Raw genomic sequence first — 20,620 nt, forward strand, 5'->3', positions numbered from 1 at the left:
GATTTGCCCTTTGCATTTCACAAAATGTTATAAGCACCTTTGTACACAGTCGTGGTCTGAATCTTTTACTATTGCTTTAGGATAAATTTCTGGGAAAGAATGACTAGGTTGAAGGACATGAGCATTGTCATGTTACATAGCACCAAGTGCTCTCCATAAAGTTTGTTCCACTTTACCTGCGCTCCAAGAGTGTGCTGGGGTAGACATTCTACACATCCTCCACAAAAATAACATTATAGAGAGCTGTCAATTTTATAGATGTAGAGTGACATCTCATTATTGTTTTATTTTTTTTTTATTATTGGCAATATGTATCTCTTTAGTGAATTACCTGTTCATGTCATTTACCTATTTTTCTTTCAGGGTTCTGTTTTTTACTATTTAATTGTGTAATAGTCCATTCTTGCACTGATGAAAAAAATACCTGAGACTAGGTAATTTATAAAGGAATGAGGTTTAATTGGCTCACAGTTCTGCAAGCTGTACAGGAAACACAGTGGCTTCTGATTCTGGCGAGGTCTCAGGAAACTTACAATCGTGGTGAAAAGTGAACAAGAGAGCAGGAACATGGCTGGAGCAGGAACAAGAGAGAGAGAGAGAGGAAGGGCTACATGCGTTCAAACAACCAGATCTCATAATATGATAACTCACTTACTCACTAACATGAGAACATCACCAAGAAGATGATGCTAACCCACTCATGAGAACTCTACCCCCATCCAATCACCTCCCACTTGGTCCCACCTCCAACATGGGGGATTATAACTGGACATGAGATTTAGTGGGGACAGAGATACAAATTATATCATTCCACCCCCAGCCCCTCCAAATTTCATGTCCTTCTCATATTGCAAAATACAATCATCCCTTCTCAACAGTCCCCCAAAGTCTTATCTCATTCCAGCATTAATTCAAAAGAAGTCCAAAGTCTCAGCTGAGACAAGGCAAGTCCCTTCCACCTATGAGCCTGTAAAACCATAAGCAAGTTAGTTACTCTTAAACAGCAAGGGTACAGGCACTAGGTAAATACAACTGTTCCAAAAGGGAGAAATCAGCCAAAAGAAAGGGGCTACAGGCCCCATGCTAGTCTGAAACCCAGCAGGGCAGTCATTAAATCTTAAAGCTCCAAAATAATCTCCCTTGACTCCATGCCTCACATCCAAGGTACACTGGTGCAAGAGGTGGGCTCCCAAAGCATTGGGCAGCTCCTCCTCTGTGGCTTTGCAGGGTTCAGTCCCCACAGTTGCTCTCAAGAGCTGGTGTTGACTGCCTGCAGCTTTTCCAGGCACAAGGTGCAAGTTGCCAGTGGGTCTACTATTCTGGGGTCTTGAGGACAGTGGCCCTCTTCTGACAGCTCATCTAGGCAGTGCCACAGTGGGGACTCTGTGTGGTGGCTCCAACCCCACATTTCCCCTCCACACTGCCCTAGTAGAGGTTCTCCATGAGGGCTCTGGCCCTGCAGCAGGCTTCTGCCTGGACATCCAGGCTTTTACATACTTCTTCTGAAATCTAGGTGGAGGTTTCCAAGCCTCAACTCTTGCACTCTGCACACCTGAAGGCTTAACACCACGTGGAAGCTGCCAAGGCTTATAGCTTACACTCTCCGAAGCAGTGGCCTGAGCTGTACCTGGGCCACTTTGAGCCATTGTTGGAGCTAGAGTGGCTGGGATGTGAGGAGCAGTGTCCCTGGGTCTGGTCCAGGAAACCATTCTTCCTTCCTAAGCCTCCTTAGGCTTGTGATGGAAGTGGCTGCCTCTAAGGTCTCTGAAATGCCTTTGAAGCCACCTCCCCATTTCTTGGCTATCAGCATTTGCCTTTCTTTTAGTTATGAAAATTTCTGCAGCCTGCTTAATTCCTCTCCTGAAAATGGGCTTTTCTTTTCTACCATATGGCCAGGATGCAAATTTTCCAAACCTTTACACTCTGCTTTCCTTTTAAATATAAGTTCAAGTTTCAGGTCATTTCTTTGCTCACACATAGGAGTATAGGTTGTTAGAAGCTGCCAGGCCACAAGTTGAACGCTTTGCTGCTTAGAAATTCATTCTGCCAGATACCCTAAATGGTCTCTCTCAAGTTCAAAGTTCCACAGATTCCTAGGGTAGGGACTCAATGTTTCCAAGTTCTTTGCTAACACTTAACAAAAGTGACCTTTGCTCCAGTTCCTAGTAAGTTCCTCATTTCTATATGAGACCTCCTCAGCCTGGACTTCATTGTCCCTGTCACTATCAGCATTTTGGTCAAAACAATTTAACAAGTCTCCAGGAATTTCCAAATTTTTCTTCATCTTCCTGTCTATTTCTGAGCCCTCCACACTCTTCTAACCCCTGCCTGTTACCCAATTCCGAAGCTGCTTCCACATTTTCAGGCATTTTTATAGCAATGCCCCCTTCCTCAGTACCAATTTTCTGTATTAGTTCATTCTTGCACTGCTATAAAGAAATACCTGAGACTAACTAATTTATAAAGAAAAGGGATTTAATTGGCTCACAGTTCCACAGGCTGTACAGAAAGCATAGTGGCTTCTGTTTCTGGAGAGTCCTCACAGAGCTTTCAATCATGATGGAAGGCAAAGGGGGAGCAAGGTGTCTTCCACAGCAGGAACAGAAGCAAGAGAGAGTGTGGGGAGGTGCTACATACTTTTAAACAACCAGATCTTACAATAACTCATTCACTCACTATCACGAGAACAGCACTAAGGCAATGATGTCAACCCATTCATGAGAACTCCTCCCCCATGATCTAATTACTTCTCACCAGGCCCCACATTCATTTTTATATAAACAAGTAAGTTCCCCTTTTCTTTGCTATTACTGTCTTTCAGATGTGTGCTGGTAAAGCAGTTTCAAAAGAAAAGTCTGATTTGTAGCATTTGCTGATATCTGCAGTGTCAGTATTCCCGCTATTGCTGAGGGCTAGCTACCAACTAATTTTTTGGCAAAGCTCTTGAATATTTTATTTTTATTTATGTATTTATTTATATTTAATTTTATTTTTTGAAATGGAGTTTCGCTCTTGTTGCCCAGGCTGGAGTGCAATGTCATGATCACAGTTCACTACAACCTTTGCCTCCCAGGTTCAAGTGATTTTCCTGCCTCAACCTCCCTAGTAGCTGGGATTGCAGGCATGTGCCACCATGCCTGGCTAATTTTGTATTTTTAGTAGAGATGGGGTTTCACCATGTTGGTCAGGCTAGTCTCAAACTCTTGACCTCAAGTGATCCACCCGCCTTCGCCTCCCAAAGTGGTGGGATTACAAGTGTAAGCCACCGTGCCTGGCCCTGAATACTTTAGAATCAGATTTAACAAATCTGTGCAAGCAAGCTCCAGCACACCATGGCTACCCTGGTTTTAGATTTAGAAAGTTTTTCTCCATAACAAGATAAGATAGATATACGTGTATCTGTTCTTCGCAAATGTATTTTTTTAGTTTTTTTAATTTTCAATTATCCAAGTAATAAATGTTTACTGTAGGAAAATCAGGAAATATAAATAAATTTTAAAATATTTGAATAAGCAGTAATCTCACCAAATAGAATCACACCAATATCATTTTTAGAGCAACCATGCAGTCATTTTTCTCTATATGTTAACATTCTTTAGATTCTTGGCTCCTACTGCAAATTGTGGTTCAGAAAATTTATAACAATTTATCTACTTACACATGCCCAAGTGCATGCACACACACATAGCATCATACTACGTATACTGTTTGTAATATGCTTTTCTTAACCTATAATCGATCATAAATATCTTTTCATGTCAGTAATTATCCATTTACAATTTCATGATTATTGGCTGGATAATATTCCTTTTTATTTATAATGCAATTTTTAATATTTTAGTTTATAATGCATTTTACCAATCTTCTGTTGTTGGACATTTAAATTGCTTCCAATTTTCACAATTAGAAACAATTCTGCAATAAGCAGCAATGTTTCCTTGGGATGTGTATGAACAATTACTTTTATTTTTATTTATTTATTTTTTTTGAGATGGAGTTTCGCTCTTGCTCCCCAAGCTGGAGTGCAATGGCATGATCTCGGCTCACCACAACCTCCACCTCCCAGGTTCAAGAGATTCTCCTGCCTCAGCTTCCTGAATAGCTAGGATTACAGGCACGCACCACCACGCCCGGCTAATTTTGTATTTTTAGTAGAGACAGGTTTTCTCCATGTTGGTCGGGCTGGTCTCGAACTCCCGACCTCAGGTGATCCACCCACCTCGACCTCCCAAAGTGCTGGGAATACAGGCATGAGCCACTGTGCCTGGCTGAACAATTATTTTTTTAATATATATTCTATAAAGTGGACTTTTTGAACCAATAGACATAAACCCATACCACTATTCTTTGCCTTTTTTTCTATTACTATAGATGAAATGTCTTTTTTATTAATTATTTAACCCAAATTTAGGATACTTTTTTTAGATTGCTCATCTGCCATATAATTCAATAGCCTATCAACAATGTGGTTTCTCTTCTCATCTGTTGGTTGTACTGATTACATAATAAGGTGTTGACTGGAACTTGTCCTATGACTTGGGTCCAAAACTGAAGACAAAGAAGTATTATGTACCACATTCTATACAAAGCTGCTAGCAACTGAAGCATGTCCCCCGGGGCATTCTAAGAAGCAGTAGAACCAGATAGCACTGTCCACAGCATCGCCTCACCCTACCTTCCCCCATTCACCTGAGAATGCTGGGGAGGGTGACAAGAGAGTCAGCAGCACCAGGAGATGAGTGTTAATGATGTAAGCCTGCAAGCTCTTCTCCCTATGCAAGAGATGACATCTCTTTCTCAAGCCAAGTGAAGGGGAAATAACAGTAAAATTACTCTTAGACACGGGACAGGCAGATCAGGCATTTCTTTCCTCAAGAGGATTCTTGTTTTGATGCAGCAATGTGTAGGATCACCCTCTGAGGTTGATCCCCCTGCCCATCTGAGCAGTATTAGAGAACATTACACGTGCCCCCTGGGGGTTCAGGAGTGTAAATTAGTAGAGCGACTGGTGTCTACTCTGTTGGAGATTTCCATTGGACCAACCCTTGCCAACTGGCAATTAGAGACTGTGGTATCAGGTACCTGGGAAAGGGGGTGTATCTCCACCTCAGCATCCCATGGGCCACACACACACAAAAAGGCACAGGAGGGCTTCATCAGCTCCTGTGGCTCCATGCAAGGGAGAATGGAGGCCATAGGATAAGACCAGAGCTATAGGAAACAGAGACATCTGGTCATCCTGAGCCCTTGAATGATTTTGTGGAATAGAGACAGCTTACCTATTCTAGACCTCTTAGCTATACTTTTTTCTATTATATGAGAAAGAAATAAACCTCAATCTTATTTAAGCCTCTGTATTTGAGGTCTCCCAGTCCTGCAGCTTAGACTGTACCTTAATCGACACAATTATAGAAAAGGATATCTGCCTTCTTACCACTCATCCTTGATCTCCACTTCAGGGAGCTAGATCTGGGAGAGGGAGGGGCAAGAAGAGTGTATCTCAGATAAACCATGCCTACCTCCAAAATATATGCCAAGGTTGAGCTACAGACCTAGCCTGTGACATGCAGAAAGAAGATGAGTTTTAGATGAAGATGGAGATTTAGAATTTTAAACTAGATTGGAGTATCAGTATCTCAAAAGGACTGCAGAAGTATTAAATCTGCTCAAGATATCACTAAGGAGTGACAAGAGGGGAATTTCAGAATCCAGTTGATGGAATGACTGAGAAAAATAAACACTACTTCACATTTGGACTAGATGATGTTGAGATTCCTCATAAACTAACCGTAATTGAAACTCTCAGAAAGTCCCTGTGGTTTTAGAAATCCCCTCAGGTCTTTTACTCCCTGTAGTTTAGTCTCATTCCTTTCTAATCAAACCAGTCCCCAGAAACCTAGACAGAAATACCTCCTCCTTTCCCCATATTTGTGGTCTCATTCTCTTTAAAACTCCCACACTCTCACCGTTTATATCCCGGGTCTCCATCCACTGTCTCTTTCCTGTGCTCTTACACCCATCCACTCTATTCTCTTTGCCTATTACTCCTTTCTTTGTACCTCTGACTTTCCAAGCAGCTTCTTTTAGAGTCTTCACTCTTTCCAGGATAACATTTCTTTTCTGCTGCCACACTCAACTGAGTCTCCAGGGCATCAGAGCTGGTCATGCCAACTCCAGAGGACTGGGTTGAATAGTGTCCTCCACCCAACCTCCAAACATTTATGTCCATTTATTTCAGATTTATTCTGAAATCTCAGAATGTGACCTCATTGAAAAAAGAGTCTTTGTAGATCTAATTAAGTTAAGGACCAAGATGTGATGGCATCAGATTAAGGAGGCTCCTAAATCCAACTAGAGTGTCCTTGTAAGAGACAGGAAAAAAAAGACAGAGACTTGGAGGAGAACACCATGTGAAGACACAGGCACAGATTATTGATTATTTAACCCAAATTTGGGATACATTTTTTTAGATTGCGCATCTGCCATGTATGTCAATAGCCTACCAATAATTTTGGTTTCTCTTCTCATCTGTTGGTTCTACTGATTACGTAATAGGGTGTTGACTGGAACTTTTCTTATGACTTGGGTCCAAAACTAAAGACAAAGAAGTATTATGTACCACATTCTATAGAAAGCTGCTAACTACTGGGGCATGTCCTCCAGGGCATTCTAAGAAGCAGCTGATGCATCTGCAAACCAAGGGACGCCAAGGTTTGCCAGCAACTACCAGAAGCTAGGAGAGAGGAAAGGGATGATTTCTCCCTGACAGCCTCTGGAAGGAACAACCCTGCCAACCTTGATTTCTGACTTCTGCCTTCCTGAACTGGGAGAAATATATTTCTGTTGTTTTAAGCCACCCAGTTTGTGGTAATTTGTTTTGGTAGCCACAGGAAACTAACACATCCAGCAACACTGCCAATTTGATGCTTTCTTCGCTCATGGTATTCTTTCACTTCCAACTTTGCACCCACTGTGCCCTCCCCTTTGAAGGGTCTTCCCAGCCACATGCCCAGGACCCTTCCCAGCCACATGCCCAGGATCCTCCTGATGAAAGATCTTTCATCAAGGCTCATCCTAGCAGCCCTCCCTGGTCACTAACCTAGGTTTCTTATCTCTTTTGCTATGGTCTGGATGTTTGTGTGCCCCTCAAAATTCCTATGGTGAAATCCTAACCCCCAAGGGGATAATACAATCAGCCCTTCATATCCATGGGTTCCACATCCATAGATTCAAACAACCATGGATTGAAAATATTCAATAAATGAATAAATAAATAATAACAATATAATAATACAAAATAATAAAAATAAAAGACCATACAGTTTAACAACTACATAACATTTACATAACATTTACATTGTATTAGGTATTGTAAGAAATCTAGAGATGATTTAAGTATATGAGAGGATGTACATAGGTTATATGTAAATAGTACACTTTTTTTTTCAGAGTCAGTGTCTTGCTCTGTTGCCCAGGCTATAGTGCAACGGCATGATCATAGCTCACTGCAGCCTGGAATTCCTGGGCTCAAACAATCCTCCCACCTCAGCCTCCTGAGTAGTTGGGACTACAGGCATGTGCCGCCAGGCATGTATTTTTTTTGAGGAGGTGGGGTCTCACTATGATGCTCAGGTTGGAAGTATGCCATTTTACATAAGGGACTTGAGCATTCACAGACTTTGGAATCTACAGGGCTCCTGGAACCAATCCCCTGTGGATACGGAGAAAGAGCTGTATTAAGAGTTGGAGATGTTGGGAGACAATTAGGTCATGAATGTGGAGCCTTCATGAATGGCATTAGTGCCCTCCCCCAGGTGAGGATACAGTGAAAAGACAAGCCATCTATGAACCAGAAAGTGGGCCCTCGCCAGGCACCAAATCTGTCAGCAGCCTGACCCTGGACATTACAGCCTCCAGAACTATAAGCCATAAATTTCCATTGTTTATAAGCTACTCAATTTGTGGTACAGTCATGCAGTGCATAACAATATTTCACTCAACAGTCATGGCCCTATAAGATAATAATGGAGATGAAAAATTCCTATGGCCTAGTAACATTGCAGTGCAATGTATTACTCACATGTTTGTGGTGATGCTGCTGTAAACAAACATACGACACTGACAGTCATATAAAAGCACAGCACATACAATTATGTACAGTTCATAATACTTGATAATGATAATAAGCAACTATGTTACCGGTTTCTGTATCTAGTAGACTATAATTTTAATCATTATTTTAGAGTGTGCTCCTACTTATTTTTTTAAAAGCTAACTATAAAAATCCTCAAGCAGGTCCTTCAGGAGGTTTTCCAGAAGAAGGCATTGTTGTTACAGGAGATGATGGCTTCATGCATGTTATTGCCCCTAAAGACCTTCCAATGGAACAAGAGGTAGAAGTAGAAGACAGTGATATTGATAATGACCCTATGAGTAGGCCTAGGCTAGTGTGTGTGTGTCTGTGTGTGTGTCTCAGTTTTTAACAGAAAAGTTTAAAAAGTGAAAAATAAAAATAAAATATTTTAAAAATAGAAAAAACAAAATAAAGATGTAAAGAAGGAAAATATTTTTATATAGCTGTAGAATGTGTGTTTTAAGCTAAGTGTTATTGCTAAAGAGCCAAAAAAAAATTTAAGGCAAAAAGTTGATAAAGTAAAAACATTACAATAAGCTAAGGTTGACTTCTTACTAAAGAAAGAAAACAATTTTAATAATTTTTCTTACTAAAGAAAGAAAACAAATTTAATAATTTTTGTGTGGCCTATATGTACAATGGGACTTATAAAGTCCACAGTGGGACATGGTAAAGTCCACAGTAGGATATGGTAATGTCCTAGGCCTTCACATTCACTCACCCCTCACTCACTCACTGACTCACCCAGAGCAACTTCCAATCCTGCAAGCTCCATTTATGGTAAGTGCCTGTATTCGTTCATTTTCATGCTGCTGATAAAGACGTATCTGAGACTGTGCAATTCACAAAAGAAAGAGGTTTATTGGACCTACAGTTCCACAGAGCTGGGGAAGCCTCACAATCATGGCAGAAGGCAAGGAGGAGCAAGTCACATCTTACATGTCAGCAGGGAAGAGAGAGAACTTGTGCAGGGAAACTCCCCCTTAAAGAACCATCAGATTTCATGAGACCCATTCGCTAACAGGAGAACAGCACAGGAAAAGACCCGCCCCCATGATGCAATCACCTCCCACTGGGTCCCTCCCACAACACGTGGGAATTCAAGATGAGATTTGGGTGGGGACACAGCCAACCCACATCAGTGCCCTATACAGGTGTACCATTTTTTATCTTCTTTACCATATTTTTACCATACCCTTGCTATGTTTAGATATGTTTGGATACACAAATACTAAGCATTGTGTTACAATCACCTAGAAGCAACAGGCTATACCATAAGCCTAGGTGTGTAGTAAGCTATGTCATCTATGTCTGTGTGAGTGCACTCTATGATGTTCAACCAAAGTCAAAATTACCTAACACACATCTCAGAACTTAGTTAGAGCAGCCCAAACGGACTGACACCTTTCCTCATCCAAACTCATCTCTGCCATGCCCCATTCCTTTTAACAGGTCATCTTACTACGGGATCTATTGTTTATTCTTATCACAGTGTTAAGAACTGAAAACGTGTTGAGGCAAACTTACCAAATTGTGGCATTGGACGGGGGAATGAGAAGGAATAGTGCAAACATGGATGGAGGAGATACTTTATTTGTATGGATTTTTGTTTTGTTTTGCCTCCTTTTCGCTTTTTTGTTTTTCTTTGTTTTTTGTTTTAGGTCTTTCTGGATCAATTTTTCAACCTCCCAGAAACGACGGCAGGGAAGATGCCTGACCCTCAAAACAAAAGCGCGCATCCTACCGGGGCAATGGGCCCCGTGGGACGAGGTGCAGGGCCGCTGTGGGGCGGGCAGGTGAGGCACAGAGAAGGGCTCACCCAGCCTCCGAAAGGCAGCCATTCCCTTTTCTCAGTGTCCTGCTAAACCTGGAGCCGGGTCGCCCCAGCATCTTCCAGTGGCAGATGGGGAGGAGCAGCACCCACCGCGAAGGTGTCCACGGCCAAGGTCGGGCGCCCGGGCCGCCCAGGCACTGCGGCGGGGACGAGCGGCCAGGAGGCAGCTCAGCGTGGAACTGTAGCCCCGCCGCCCCCGCCCCCCCCTGCCTGGGCTTTTTAGATAAAATCCAGGACTTCATGGACATTTCCCGCATGGGACCGTTTCAGAGTCATTTGCTCATCCCACGAGTTTTTACTGCGCATCTACAATGGGGTGCACAGTGTCCCCTCGGCACTGGGGAGAGGCAGGGAACAGGTGGAGAAGTCTCCCTTTTTCCTGGAGCTTAGACTTCAGAGGAGAGAAGAAGAAGATGAGTAAGCAACTAAGCAAACAAGATAATTTTAGACAGTGATGTGTTCTGTGAAGAAAAGAAATGGGAAGAATGTGACGGAGAGGACTGTGAGGAACCTACTTTCCACTGGGATGCAGGGAGGCCCCTCTGCCGAGGGGATGTAGGTTTAACAAAATTAATGCTAAAATTCTATATTTTCAATGTCAACAATATTTTGTGGGAAACATTGATACCATTTAAAAAGATCTGATTATTTAGAATCTGTGGCAGTTTTTTTTGTCGTTGTTGTTACTGTGGTTGTTTGTTGTTTTTATTGTTTTTAGATTAGGCAACAGTTTAAAAAATCTGTTCAACAGGGGTTGTGGAAGAATGTGCCGTTTGGGATAGAGCCTAGGGAGGAAAACAAATGTTGTTCTCCTGAAGAGCAAGGAAGGGCTAATGCAGACAGAAGATGATGCTAATAAAATATCATTAAGGCTTATTTCGTTACAGCTATTATGAAACCAGATTTTTTTTCTTTTAACTTTTTTGAGATGGAGTCTCACTCTGTTGCCCAGCGGGGAGTACAGTAGCGCTGTCTCAGCTCACTACAGCCTCTGTCTCCCAGGTTCAAGTGATTTTCCTGCCTCAGCCTCCCGAGTAGCTGGGACTACAGGTGCACACCACCACACCCGGCTAATTTTTGTATTTTTAGTACAGACAGGGTTTCACCATGTTGGCCAGGCTGGTCTCGAACTCCTGACCTCAAGTGATCCACCTGCCTCAGCCTCCCACAGTACTGGGATTATAGATGTGAGCCAACGTGCCTGGCCGAAACTGGTTTATTGAATGAACTAAGTCCAGAAAGCGAGGGCTTCATTTTTCTCTAACCATTGCCTTACAACAAAGTTCTGTTGGATCTCCTCCCATCATCACTCCTGAATCTTGGGCAGATACCATAAATTTTAGTGACAAATCTCACTTTAGTCATTGCACCTCTATTTAAGGGATTAAAATGTCCAGGCCAGTCCAATTTAACAGCAATCTCACACCTCATTCAAAAATCTGCTTGGCCTTCCTTGCAGTGAAATGACGAAGGCATATAGTCAGTTTCTTTACTCTTCCTCCATTGTCTCTGTCTTCTCTATATTCTAGATGTCCCTATGCCATTGCAAGGGAAGAGGGTATTACACAAAGAGGAGCAGATCTTCCTGTAGTTAACTATTGAATAAGGCAGACAGGCCAGCATGATCCTGCCAGCTGCTATGGCAGAGTCCAAATGCTGGCTTTTTCATAGGGCACATCTGTGAGTTATTGGAGGGCCTTGAGTGTACCCCACATTGCACAGTTCCATGATGCAGGGCCACATTATCTGGCTGACCTCTTGCAGCAACCTCCACCCCAAACCCCTCTTCTGCCTAACCCCGTGTCCTCTTACTGCTATAGTTTCTTTGCACAACAGGCTACCCTGTTGGCTGATATCCCGTCATGACAATGCAAGCCCAGCTACTCTTCCATAGTCAAAGCCATGTGAAGAAATTCACATCCTTTTACCATGTCAATAATGGGAGGGCAGGTTGCTATCAGTGCTTCTCTTCTCTCATCCTGCCATTTTGGGTGCTCAAGCCAACCTTTCACCTCCTGAATTCCCCAGGGGGGAAGAACTCATCTATTCATTCAACAAATATTCATCAAGCACTTGTATTTGCCAAACACTATTTACCAGTCTCTGTGTTCCCAGTGCCCACCCTCGGACTCCAGCAAACACTCATCAAGCTCTTCCAAGAATTCTCAAGCCACACCACATCTGCTGCACTGAACCTGTGTGCTCCTGTTACTCTGCAAGCTTTCAGTCTTGGAGTGGGATGCCAGGCTACCTTCTACCATGCTGAGTCCCTCACACTTGTCTGCAAGAAATTCAAAGCAATCTCCCTATGGCCTAGAACCTCCGCTTAATGACTCTTTAATCACGCTTTTGACTCTAGTCTTCTAGAGATGGATAATACGGACTGGGAGTCATTGGTCTCTTTCTGCTCTTTTGATAAGTCCAGACTGGCTGTGTCTAGTATCATGTTGGTGCAGTTACTGTCTTTCGTCAGCTTTGAGCCTTTAGCCAGAATTCTAAGACAACCAGAAAAGTCCCATTCAATATCCAGCTGCAAATAAATTTGGCCGAGTTTTCTTGGAAAGCAGGTGGATCCACGTCTTTCACCTCAACAGCTTATGATTAAGTCCATATATCCCTTTACATACATACACTATCAAGTCATGAGTCCTCATTGGTTAATTACATATTTGTGTAGCAGGATAAAAAATTAAATAAGCTATTACACATATGTGAAACAAAAGACTTTTTTATATGCCGTAGCTGATCTAATTTTTTCCCCAAGCCCCAGACTTGAAGAGAATGATGACACTGACCCAAAGACCAATATGATTCACAGGGCACTCCGAGGACTGGTGCATATGATGCTGAAGTTGACTGTTCCCTTGCTGCCATGAAGCCATATAAACTCTTGCTCACAACAGAATCCATTTGGGAAAGCAGAGTGGAGAGGAGCTGAAAAACTGAGCATTTACTCAAAAGAGACTGTTTCAATTTGAAACATAATGATTAAACCAGAAGAGACTGGGCTGTCTCTAACTGGCAGGCTAACCTCACCGCCTAGCTCAGTTCCCCAGATGAAACATTGTTTTTGTTAAGTCTTTCCTGAAGGCATGAGGATAATGGAGGCACCTCCAGACAGTTACTTACGACTGTACTATTCACCATCATCCAAGTAAATAATGGTTTCTTAAGTTGAATTTCCTAAATTTTTTTAAGATTTCACATCATTGTTTTCAGTGACTAGTGTTAATTTCATATTAAAAGCGGCTCTAATGTTAGCCCAAAAGAGCCCACGTTTGCTTTTCTCCTTGGGCCACTGCAAATAAGTCCGCTGCGTCATGAGAGCCTTCAGCTTGTGGTACTTGTTGGGAATGCTGTTCTGTGGAATGGGTTCCAGTAAGATGAGGATTAAGTTATTAGATCCTTCATGAAAGAGATTGTGATGGGCAAAATAGAGTTCGTAATGGCACCACTCACTCTGGACAAAGTTGGGAGACAAAACAAAGATGGACTTGTAACTCTTCTCAATGCAGTTGATGATATTTTCCACAATGCTCTTGCCAGGGACAAAGTTTCTCTCATGAAGACAAATCTGTATATCTTCTTTTTCTAGGTAAGGTACCAATTCACTTTTCACCCAGGCAGAATCATGTTCACTATATGAAATAAAAGCATGAAACTGGAGGTTTCTTTGGAGTTCTTCTAAGGGTATGTTCCTGGCCCTGCGCCGAGTCTGGGTCCACTGGCACACCATCCTGAGATACCAGGGCAGATCCAAGTAGATGCAGAGGGAGGTCACAGTCACAGCCAACACCAGCATGGTGGCACCGATGGTGACGATCAGCAGAGTTATGTTGCAGGATAATTCAGACATGTGAAAGTCCTTTAGTGGGCTTCCTCTATAACTTTCTGGGTAGTCACACTTATAAGAATCAGGCCAGCCCTCTAACACTTCACTTGATACTTGGTCTATATTTTTGACAAATTCTCTTAGCTCACAGGTACATTGGAATGGATTGTCCCCTGCTTTTATTGACCTCATCTTCTGGCAGCTCTGGAAGAAATCAGCCGATGGGTGGGAAACTGAATTGTGATCAATGATCAATACAGAAAGGCTGCTAAAGCTGCCACATCCAGGAAGGTCAGTTAAAGAATTGAAAGCAACATTGAGTTCTTGCAAAGCTTCCAGTTTTACGACTTGTTTAGGAACGCTCTTTATTTTATTGCTGTGAAGATCAAGTACCTTGATCCTGGGAGGTAAACATCTGAAAACAGAGTCAGTAAGCATATTTGAAGACAAATTTAACACCACTATACTCTCAACCCAAGTGCAGTTTTCTTTATGTCTACCAGATTCCAAAGAATTCCAGCTAACATCCAGTATTTCCAAAGAAGGCATATCCTTCGTCATGAGACCTACTTTGAAAAGGTCTTTTAATCCATTCTTTTGTAAGATAAGTGTCTCCAATTTAACTAACGTGGAACATTTTTCAAAAATACTATCTGTGAAAACGTTCTGGGTAAAGTTCAAAAACTTGAATGTGCTTGGTGCATGAGGACACAGCATGTGTATAAAAGGTGTATCTGAAATGGTTAACATCATAATGTTCATCTCAGAAAACACGGTGTACAAAGCTGTCTGTGAAAACAGAAAAACTTGGTTCGTGATATGTTCTATTGTCAATGCTTTCAATGTCGTTTTAGAATAAGTAAAATCTTCTTCACGAATGCTTTCAATTATTGTTAAATTGTAAATATTGAGATATTCCACAGGTTTGGGCCAAAGAAATTGAAAGACTCTGACCAGGCATTTCCAAGTCGTTTCTATGTGGTTGAGGGTAAAATTCAGTAAGGTTGAACCTCTGGTGAGTTCTGATAAAAATTTAATGAAAACTTGACAGTTGTCATCATTCAATTTAATATTAGTCAGTTGTAAGCACCCTAAAGTATTAACTGATATGTTCACTTGGATAGCGAATAAACTAGTTGGGTGAAAAACAAGGTGAAGGGTTTTTGCATTCAGAATTTGTAGACTTTCTGTCTCATTTTCTTTTATATAATAATTTCTTAAATCCAGAAGGATATAACTTAGATGCAAGTGAGCAATTGGCAGCAAATCTAATTTTTGCAGCTTCATAGCACTCAATCCCAAGAAATTCAGTTGTGATAAGTTGCCAAATTCCTTACAGATGGGCAGGGCCTTGAAATCATTGAATGAGAGATCTAAATGCCTGAAACTCACAATAGGATGGCAGGATATCTTTTGCAACTGATTATGAGATAAATCCAAATATTCTAAATCCTGGTTGAACTTGAAAACACTTAAATCAAGTAGCTGGATTCTGTTATGGGAAAGTCTCAAAACTGTCAACTCTGATAGAAAGCTCATGTCAGAGACCTGAAGCTCAGCGATGTAGTTCTGAGACATATCTAAGACTTTGGTTTTCAGCGGTAGGTCTTTTGGAACATGAATAAGACCTCTTTTTGACTTGTCTACTGCAAATTCATTTCCGTCGGAGAACTGGATTCTGGTTCCAACTATTATGATCATAAGGCAAACAAAATGGAAGCTTTTAACAATAGGTTCTTTGTCTTTGGTCATGATGTTGCAGTGGCTATCCTAAAGGGTTGTTCTTCTTCAGAGCATCTTGATATGAGTCCAAATTCTAGAAATATAATATACACTAAGATTAATAAAGATCGGATGGTTACTCTCAAACCTCCACTTACTAACCATAAAATCTAAATGATTTCTTCATTCACTAGTAGAGTCATTTCTGTCCCCATAATTTAATGTAATACTTTTTATAACCAGTTATATAGCTTGCTCATGCCAGAAGGGGCAATATAGGCCTTGTTATCAAAGAATTGTGGTTGTGTGTTTTGACCTGTCTGGTTGCTGCCTGAGGGATTCACACTCAGGGGCTTGCCTTTGTTTTGTACACCTTAGAACTTTCTCAGGGCTGGAACAGCCTTCTGGCTGGTGTTTGCTGTAAACAATTAAAGGCAAACATACTAGCTGCAGCCACCTGAGCAAGGGCTAACAGAGGGGGCAAGCAGCAGACACATCAAAAAGTCTGGGAAATATGCAAAGATATATGGAGAAAGATATGTGGGAGAAAAAAGGCTGAGGAAATCTCTGTATATACCAGGGAGTCCAGAAGTCCACTCACGTGCCCAAGGCTGGACGCATGTTCAGAGGAGACCTGAGAAAATCCTAAACTTCACCTCTGGCTCATCTTTAGCTTCCATGCATGCAGAAAGTGAAGGCTAAAGCAGAGCTGTGAATAGACTGGCTAAGCATTGAGAAAGTGATCCAACACAGCCAACCTGCAAAGATCAGGGGTGTTTTTGTTTTTGCTTTTGCTAGTTTATTTGGTTTTTGTTTTTGCTCCAGATGTTTAAAGAAATCTCAAGTTACTGGCTGACCACTAAGCTAACTGGACAGAAAATGTAATAGCCACACATGACAAAGAATAATCTTTATAAAAATTATTTAGAAAAGTCATTAAACAAGCAACTATAAGCCACAAGAAGCAACAATACACCCTGGGAAAGGGAGGCCCGGCACAGTGGCTTAAGCCTATAGTCCCAGAACTTGGGGAGGGCAAGGCAGGTGGATTGCTTGAGTCCAGGAGTTCAAAGCCAGCCTGCGCAACATAGTGAAACTCCATCTCTACAAAAAATACAAAACTTAGCTGGGCATGGTGGCGTGTGCCTATAGTCCCAGCTACTTGGGAGGCTGAGTGGGAGGATTGTTTGGGGCCGAGGAAGTCGAGGCTCCAATGAGCTGTGATTACACCACTGCACTCCAGCCTGGGTGACAGAATGAGACCCTGTCAAAAAATAAATAAATAAATAAATAAAACACCTCTGGGAAAGGGGGACAGAATTTGATTTCTAGAGTTACCTCATTGTAGTGTTTAAAATGTCTGATTTAAAAAAATAAAAATCAAAACAAAATAATCACTAGCCCCCAGATTTGCCAGTGGACTTGCTCTACGTTTTGCCCTGAAATAACACAAACCTTGCAAAAAGCAAATGGAAAGAGATTGTTATCTTTTTGATTGTGTAACTTGGCATTAAAGGAATCTCTAATTTATTTGTTTAAAAAAATTAGCCATGCAAAGAAACAGAAAGTATTGTTCATTCACAGGAAAAAAAAAAAAAAGAAATTAAAAGAACAAAGCCAGATAACTGACACCACCTAACATTGAGACTTGCTACAAAGCTACAGCAATCAAGGCAGTGTGGTTTTGGTGAAAGAATAGACAAATAGGTCAAATGACCAGAATACAGAGCTTAGAAATAGACCCACAAAAAAATAATCAACTGCTGTTTGACAAACGAGCAAAGGCAACTCAGTGGAGAATGGATAGTCTTTTCAACAAATGGTGCTGGAACAATTAGACCTCCACATGCAAAAAAAAAAAAAGAAGAAGAAGAGAAAGAATTTAGACGCAGACCTTACAGTTTTCACAAAAATCAGCTCAAAATTAACCATAGACCTAAATGTATAATGCAAAACTATAAAATTTCCAGAAGATAACATAGGAGAAAATCTAGGTGACTTTGGATTTGGTGATGACTTTTGAGATACGCATCAAAAACATAATCCAAGAAAGAAAACACTGTTAAGTTGGACTTCATTAAAATTAAAATTTTTGCTTTGCAAAAGACACTGCAAGAGAGTGAAAAAGACAAACCACAGACTCAGAGAAGATATTTGCAAAACCCATATATGATAGGGACTTGTATCCAAACTATGCAAAGAACTCTTAAGCTCCACAATAAGAAAACAAACAACCTAGTTTTTAAATGGGCACAAAAATCTAAACAGACACCTCACCAAAGAAGATATGTAAAGAGCAAATACACATATACATAGCTATTTGACATCATATTTCATCATGGTTTTGCAGATTAATACAGCAATGAAATTACATTACACTTATGAGAATGGGTAAAATCCAAAAACAACATCAAATGTTGGTGAGGATGTGGAGCAACAAGAACTCTCTTTCACTGTTTGTGGGAATGCAAAATGGTGCAGCCACTATGGAATGCAGTTTCTTATAAAACTAAGCATAGTCTTATCACACAATCCAGCAAATCACATTCCTGGGTATTTAACCAAAAGAACTGAAAATTTATGTCCACATAAAAGCCTCCATGTGGATGTTTATAGAAGCTTTATTCATAACTGTCAAACATTGGAAGCAACAAGATATCCCTCAATAGATAAAAATATTAACAAACTGGTACATTCACACAATAAAATACTATTGAACAATTAAAAAATGAGCCGGAGAAGCATTAAAATGGCTGAATAGAGGCACCTAGCCCTCACCCCCTCTGCAAAGAAGGACCAAAACAGTGAGCAGATAATCACACATTGAATGAGCATCTAAGAGAGAACACTGGAATTCAGCGGAGAAGTGACAGTGCACCTCTGAGGCATGGGAGAAGAGGGAAGTGAAGCAGCCAGCCCAGCTGGGACTAGCTCAGAACCAGGAGGAACTTCCCATTCCAGGGAAAGTTTAACTGAGAGATCTTCAGAGGTCAATGTTTCCACTATGGACTCCTGTAATCCTAGCCATGAGCTAGCTCCTTGGCCTTCACATGCCCTGGGGCTGTCTGGAATATATGCAATCACATTGTTCCACAATGGGACTTCACATTGGGTCCCACATACCCCATACCCTGAGACCCAAACAGCTTCAGCATAAGGCTCTTTTAAGAGCCCAGCCCTCACCATACACATCCTGTTCTGGGGCCCAACAACCCTGAATCTCCACACCCCTGAAGCCCCACTGATATTCTCCTACGTCCACCTAGAGGGCTACAGCATTGTAATGCCAGCTAAGATCAGCAGTGCAGCTAGGTCCCCAGCACTCTAGCCCATGCAATGCCCCGCATCCCAGGAAACAGGAAGCACAGTGCACCTAGTGGCTTTCCCTGGGACAAAGGGAGTCAAAGTGTGCATTCCCCAGAGCCTCAGAGTTACCTGCCCAGGGCCACCGCCACTTACAGCAACCCCATCTTCCCTAGCAGCAGGACTACGACACATCTACACATGCCTCCAAGGGGCCTGAGGACAGGTCCACCATGCCCTTTGCTGCTAGTGCCTGCCTGCCACTGCCATGGCAGGGCAGTGCCACACAGGGTGTGGCACATGCATGCCACACGGGGTCCTGAGGACTGGCTTGCCCAGCCTGCTGCTGCCTGTGTCTACCACTTGGGGGCCAGAGGGTTGGTCCACTTTTCCTACTGCTACAGTTAATGCCACACAAATTGTGCAGGGGCCCAAGAACCTGCCCTCCCACTTGGTCCATTACTGCCACTGCAAGCATCCAACTAAATCTCCTGGAGGCTCAAGGACCCATCACCACGAGTGCCCACATATTTCACACAGGGGCCTGAGAACCGGCAAGCCTAGGCCACTGCTGCCACCACTGTTGCCTGAGAACAGGCCTGCCTGGTGTCCCCATCCCCAGCAAAGCCTTGCCATAGTGTCTGCTGACAACTGTAACCTAAGCCACTGAGGAACCCAAATGCCACTGACACTGATGACAGGTGAAGAAATCATACAGAAACTACACTGCTGTGCCCACTCAGAATCAAAGCCAAAGCACCCTATACTCAACTAACACTATAAAAACACCTAGAGGCAAAAGTCTTTCCCTATCAAAGCCAATCCATAAAATTGGAAGCAGCAGCTATTACATCAGATCCATAGATATCAACATAAGGACACAAGAAATACAAAAGTGCAAGGAAACATGAAGCCTCCAAAGGAACACAATAATTCTCTAATAACAGATCTCAACAAAAAGAAAATCTATAAAATGCCTGAAAAGTAATTCAAAATAATGATACTAAAGAAACTCAGTGAGTTACAAGAGAGCATAGATAAATAATAAAAGAAATCAGAAAAATAATTTATGATCTGAGTCAGAAATTCAACAAAGAAATAGATATTAAAAATAGAACAAAACAGAAATTTTGGAACTACAGAGGTCAATAAATGAAGTAAAAAAATATAATCAAGAGCTTGTACAAACAATAGACTAGGCCAGGTGCAGTGGCTCACAACTGTAATCCCAGCACTTTGGGAGGCTGAGGTGGGTGGATCTCCTGAGGTCAGGAGTTCGAGACCAGCCTGGCCAAAATGGTGAAACCATATCTGTACTAAAAAAAAAAAAAAATTACAAAAATTAGTTGGGCGTGGTGGCAGGCACCTGTAATCCCAGCTACTTGCGAGGCTGAGGCATGAGAATTGCTTGAACCCAGGAGGCAGAGGTTGCAGCGAGCTGAGATTGCACCACTATGCTCCAGCCTGGGTGACAAGAGCAAAACTCCAGCTCAAAAAAAAAATATATATATAAAATTAAAAATTAAAAAACAGTAGACTAGATTGAGCAAAATAAAGAATTTCTGAACTGGAAGACAGGTCTTTTGAAATAACCCAGTGAGGCGAAAAAAAAAAAAAAGGAATAAAAAAGAATAAAGAAAGCCTATGGAACACCATTAAGCAAACAAAATTCACATTTTGGGAGTTCCAGAAGCAGAAGAGATGAGCAAAGGGATAGAAAACATGTTTAATGAAATAATAGCTAAAAACTTTCCAGGTCTTACAAGAGGTATAGACATCCAGATACAAGAAGCTT

At 41.8% G+C, this 20,620-nt stretch overlaps 1 protein-coding gene and 1 long non-coding RNA gene across 9 annotated transcripts in view, besides 5 other annotated features; both read right to left on the bottom strand.

The window, feature by feature from the left end:
- Nucleotides 1-435: 435 nt before the first annotated feature.
- Nucleotides 436-2,615, bottom strand: LOC124900695 (uncharacterized). Its single transcript, XR_007058101.1, has 2 exons — nt 2,489-2,615; nt 436-571 (listed from the first exon to the last, which is right to left on the bottom strand). It is a non-coding gene; the product is annotated as an uncharacterized LOC124900695 (long non-coding RNA).
- Nucleotides 4,467-4,516: an enhancer, noted in NCBI's record as "active region_21450". NCBI's record gives its function as "activates an Ori minimal core promoter by ATAC-STARR-seq in GM12878 lymphoblastoid cells {active_cell/tissue: GM12878}" and the evidence as "EXISTENCE:reporter gene assay evidence [ECO:0000049][PMID:35858748]".
- Nucleotides 4,537-4,646: an enhancer, noted in NCBI's record as "active region_21451". NCBI's record gives its function as "activates an Ori minimal core promoter by ATAC-STARR-seq in GM12878 lymphoblastoid cells {active_cell/tissue: GM12878}" and the evidence as "EXISTENCE:reporter gene assay evidence [ECO:0000049][PMID:35858748]".
- Nucleotides 5,692-5,811: an enhancer, noted in NCBI's record as "active region_21452". NCBI's record gives its function as "activates an Ori minimal core promoter by ATAC-STARR-seq in GM12878 lymphoblastoid cells {active_cell/tissue: GM12878}" and the evidence as "EXISTENCE:reporter gene assay evidence [ECO:0000049][PMID:35858748]".
- TLR6 (toll like receptor 6) overlaps nt 8,976-20,620 on the bottom strand; it is a 45,494-nt gene continuing 33,849 nt past the window's right edge. For all 8 annotated transcript variants that reach the window (XM_047449498.1, NM_001394553.1, NM_006068.5 and 5 more), the window contains one exon: nt 8,976-15,616. In XM_047449498.1, coding sequence (XP_047305454.1) covers nt 13,162-15,552 — 2,391 coding nt within the window. In that variant the 5' untranslated portion in view covers nt 15,553-15,616 and the 3' untranslated portion in view covers nt 8,976-13,161. The remainder of the gene's footprint in view (nt 15,617-20,620) is intronic.
- Nucleotides 9,816-9,985: an enhancer, noted in NCBI's record as "experimental_80034 CRE fragment used in MPRA reporter constructs". NCBI's record gives its function as "activates a minimal promoter by MPRAs in K562 erythroleukemia cells, with activity observed for the non-introgressed 4:38825443 variant allele {active_cell/tissue: K562}" and the evidence as "EXISTENCE:reporter gene assay evidence [ECO:0000049][PMID:34662402]".
- Nucleotides 17,546-17,715: an enhancer, noted in NCBI's record as "experimental_80044 CRE fragment used in MPRA reporter constructs". NCBI's record gives its function as "activates a minimal promoter by MPRAs in K562 erythroleukemia cells, with activity observed for the introgressed 4:38833173 variant allele {active_cell/tissue: K562}" and the evidence as "EXISTENCE:reporter gene assay evidence [ECO:0000049][PMID:34662402]".

This window comes from Homo sapiens, chromosome 4, assembly GCF_000001405.40.
Source record: "Homo sapiens chromosome 4, GRCh38.p14 Primary Assembly".
NCBI lineage: Eukaryota > Metazoa > Chordata > Mammalia > Primates > Hominidae > Homo > Homo sapiens.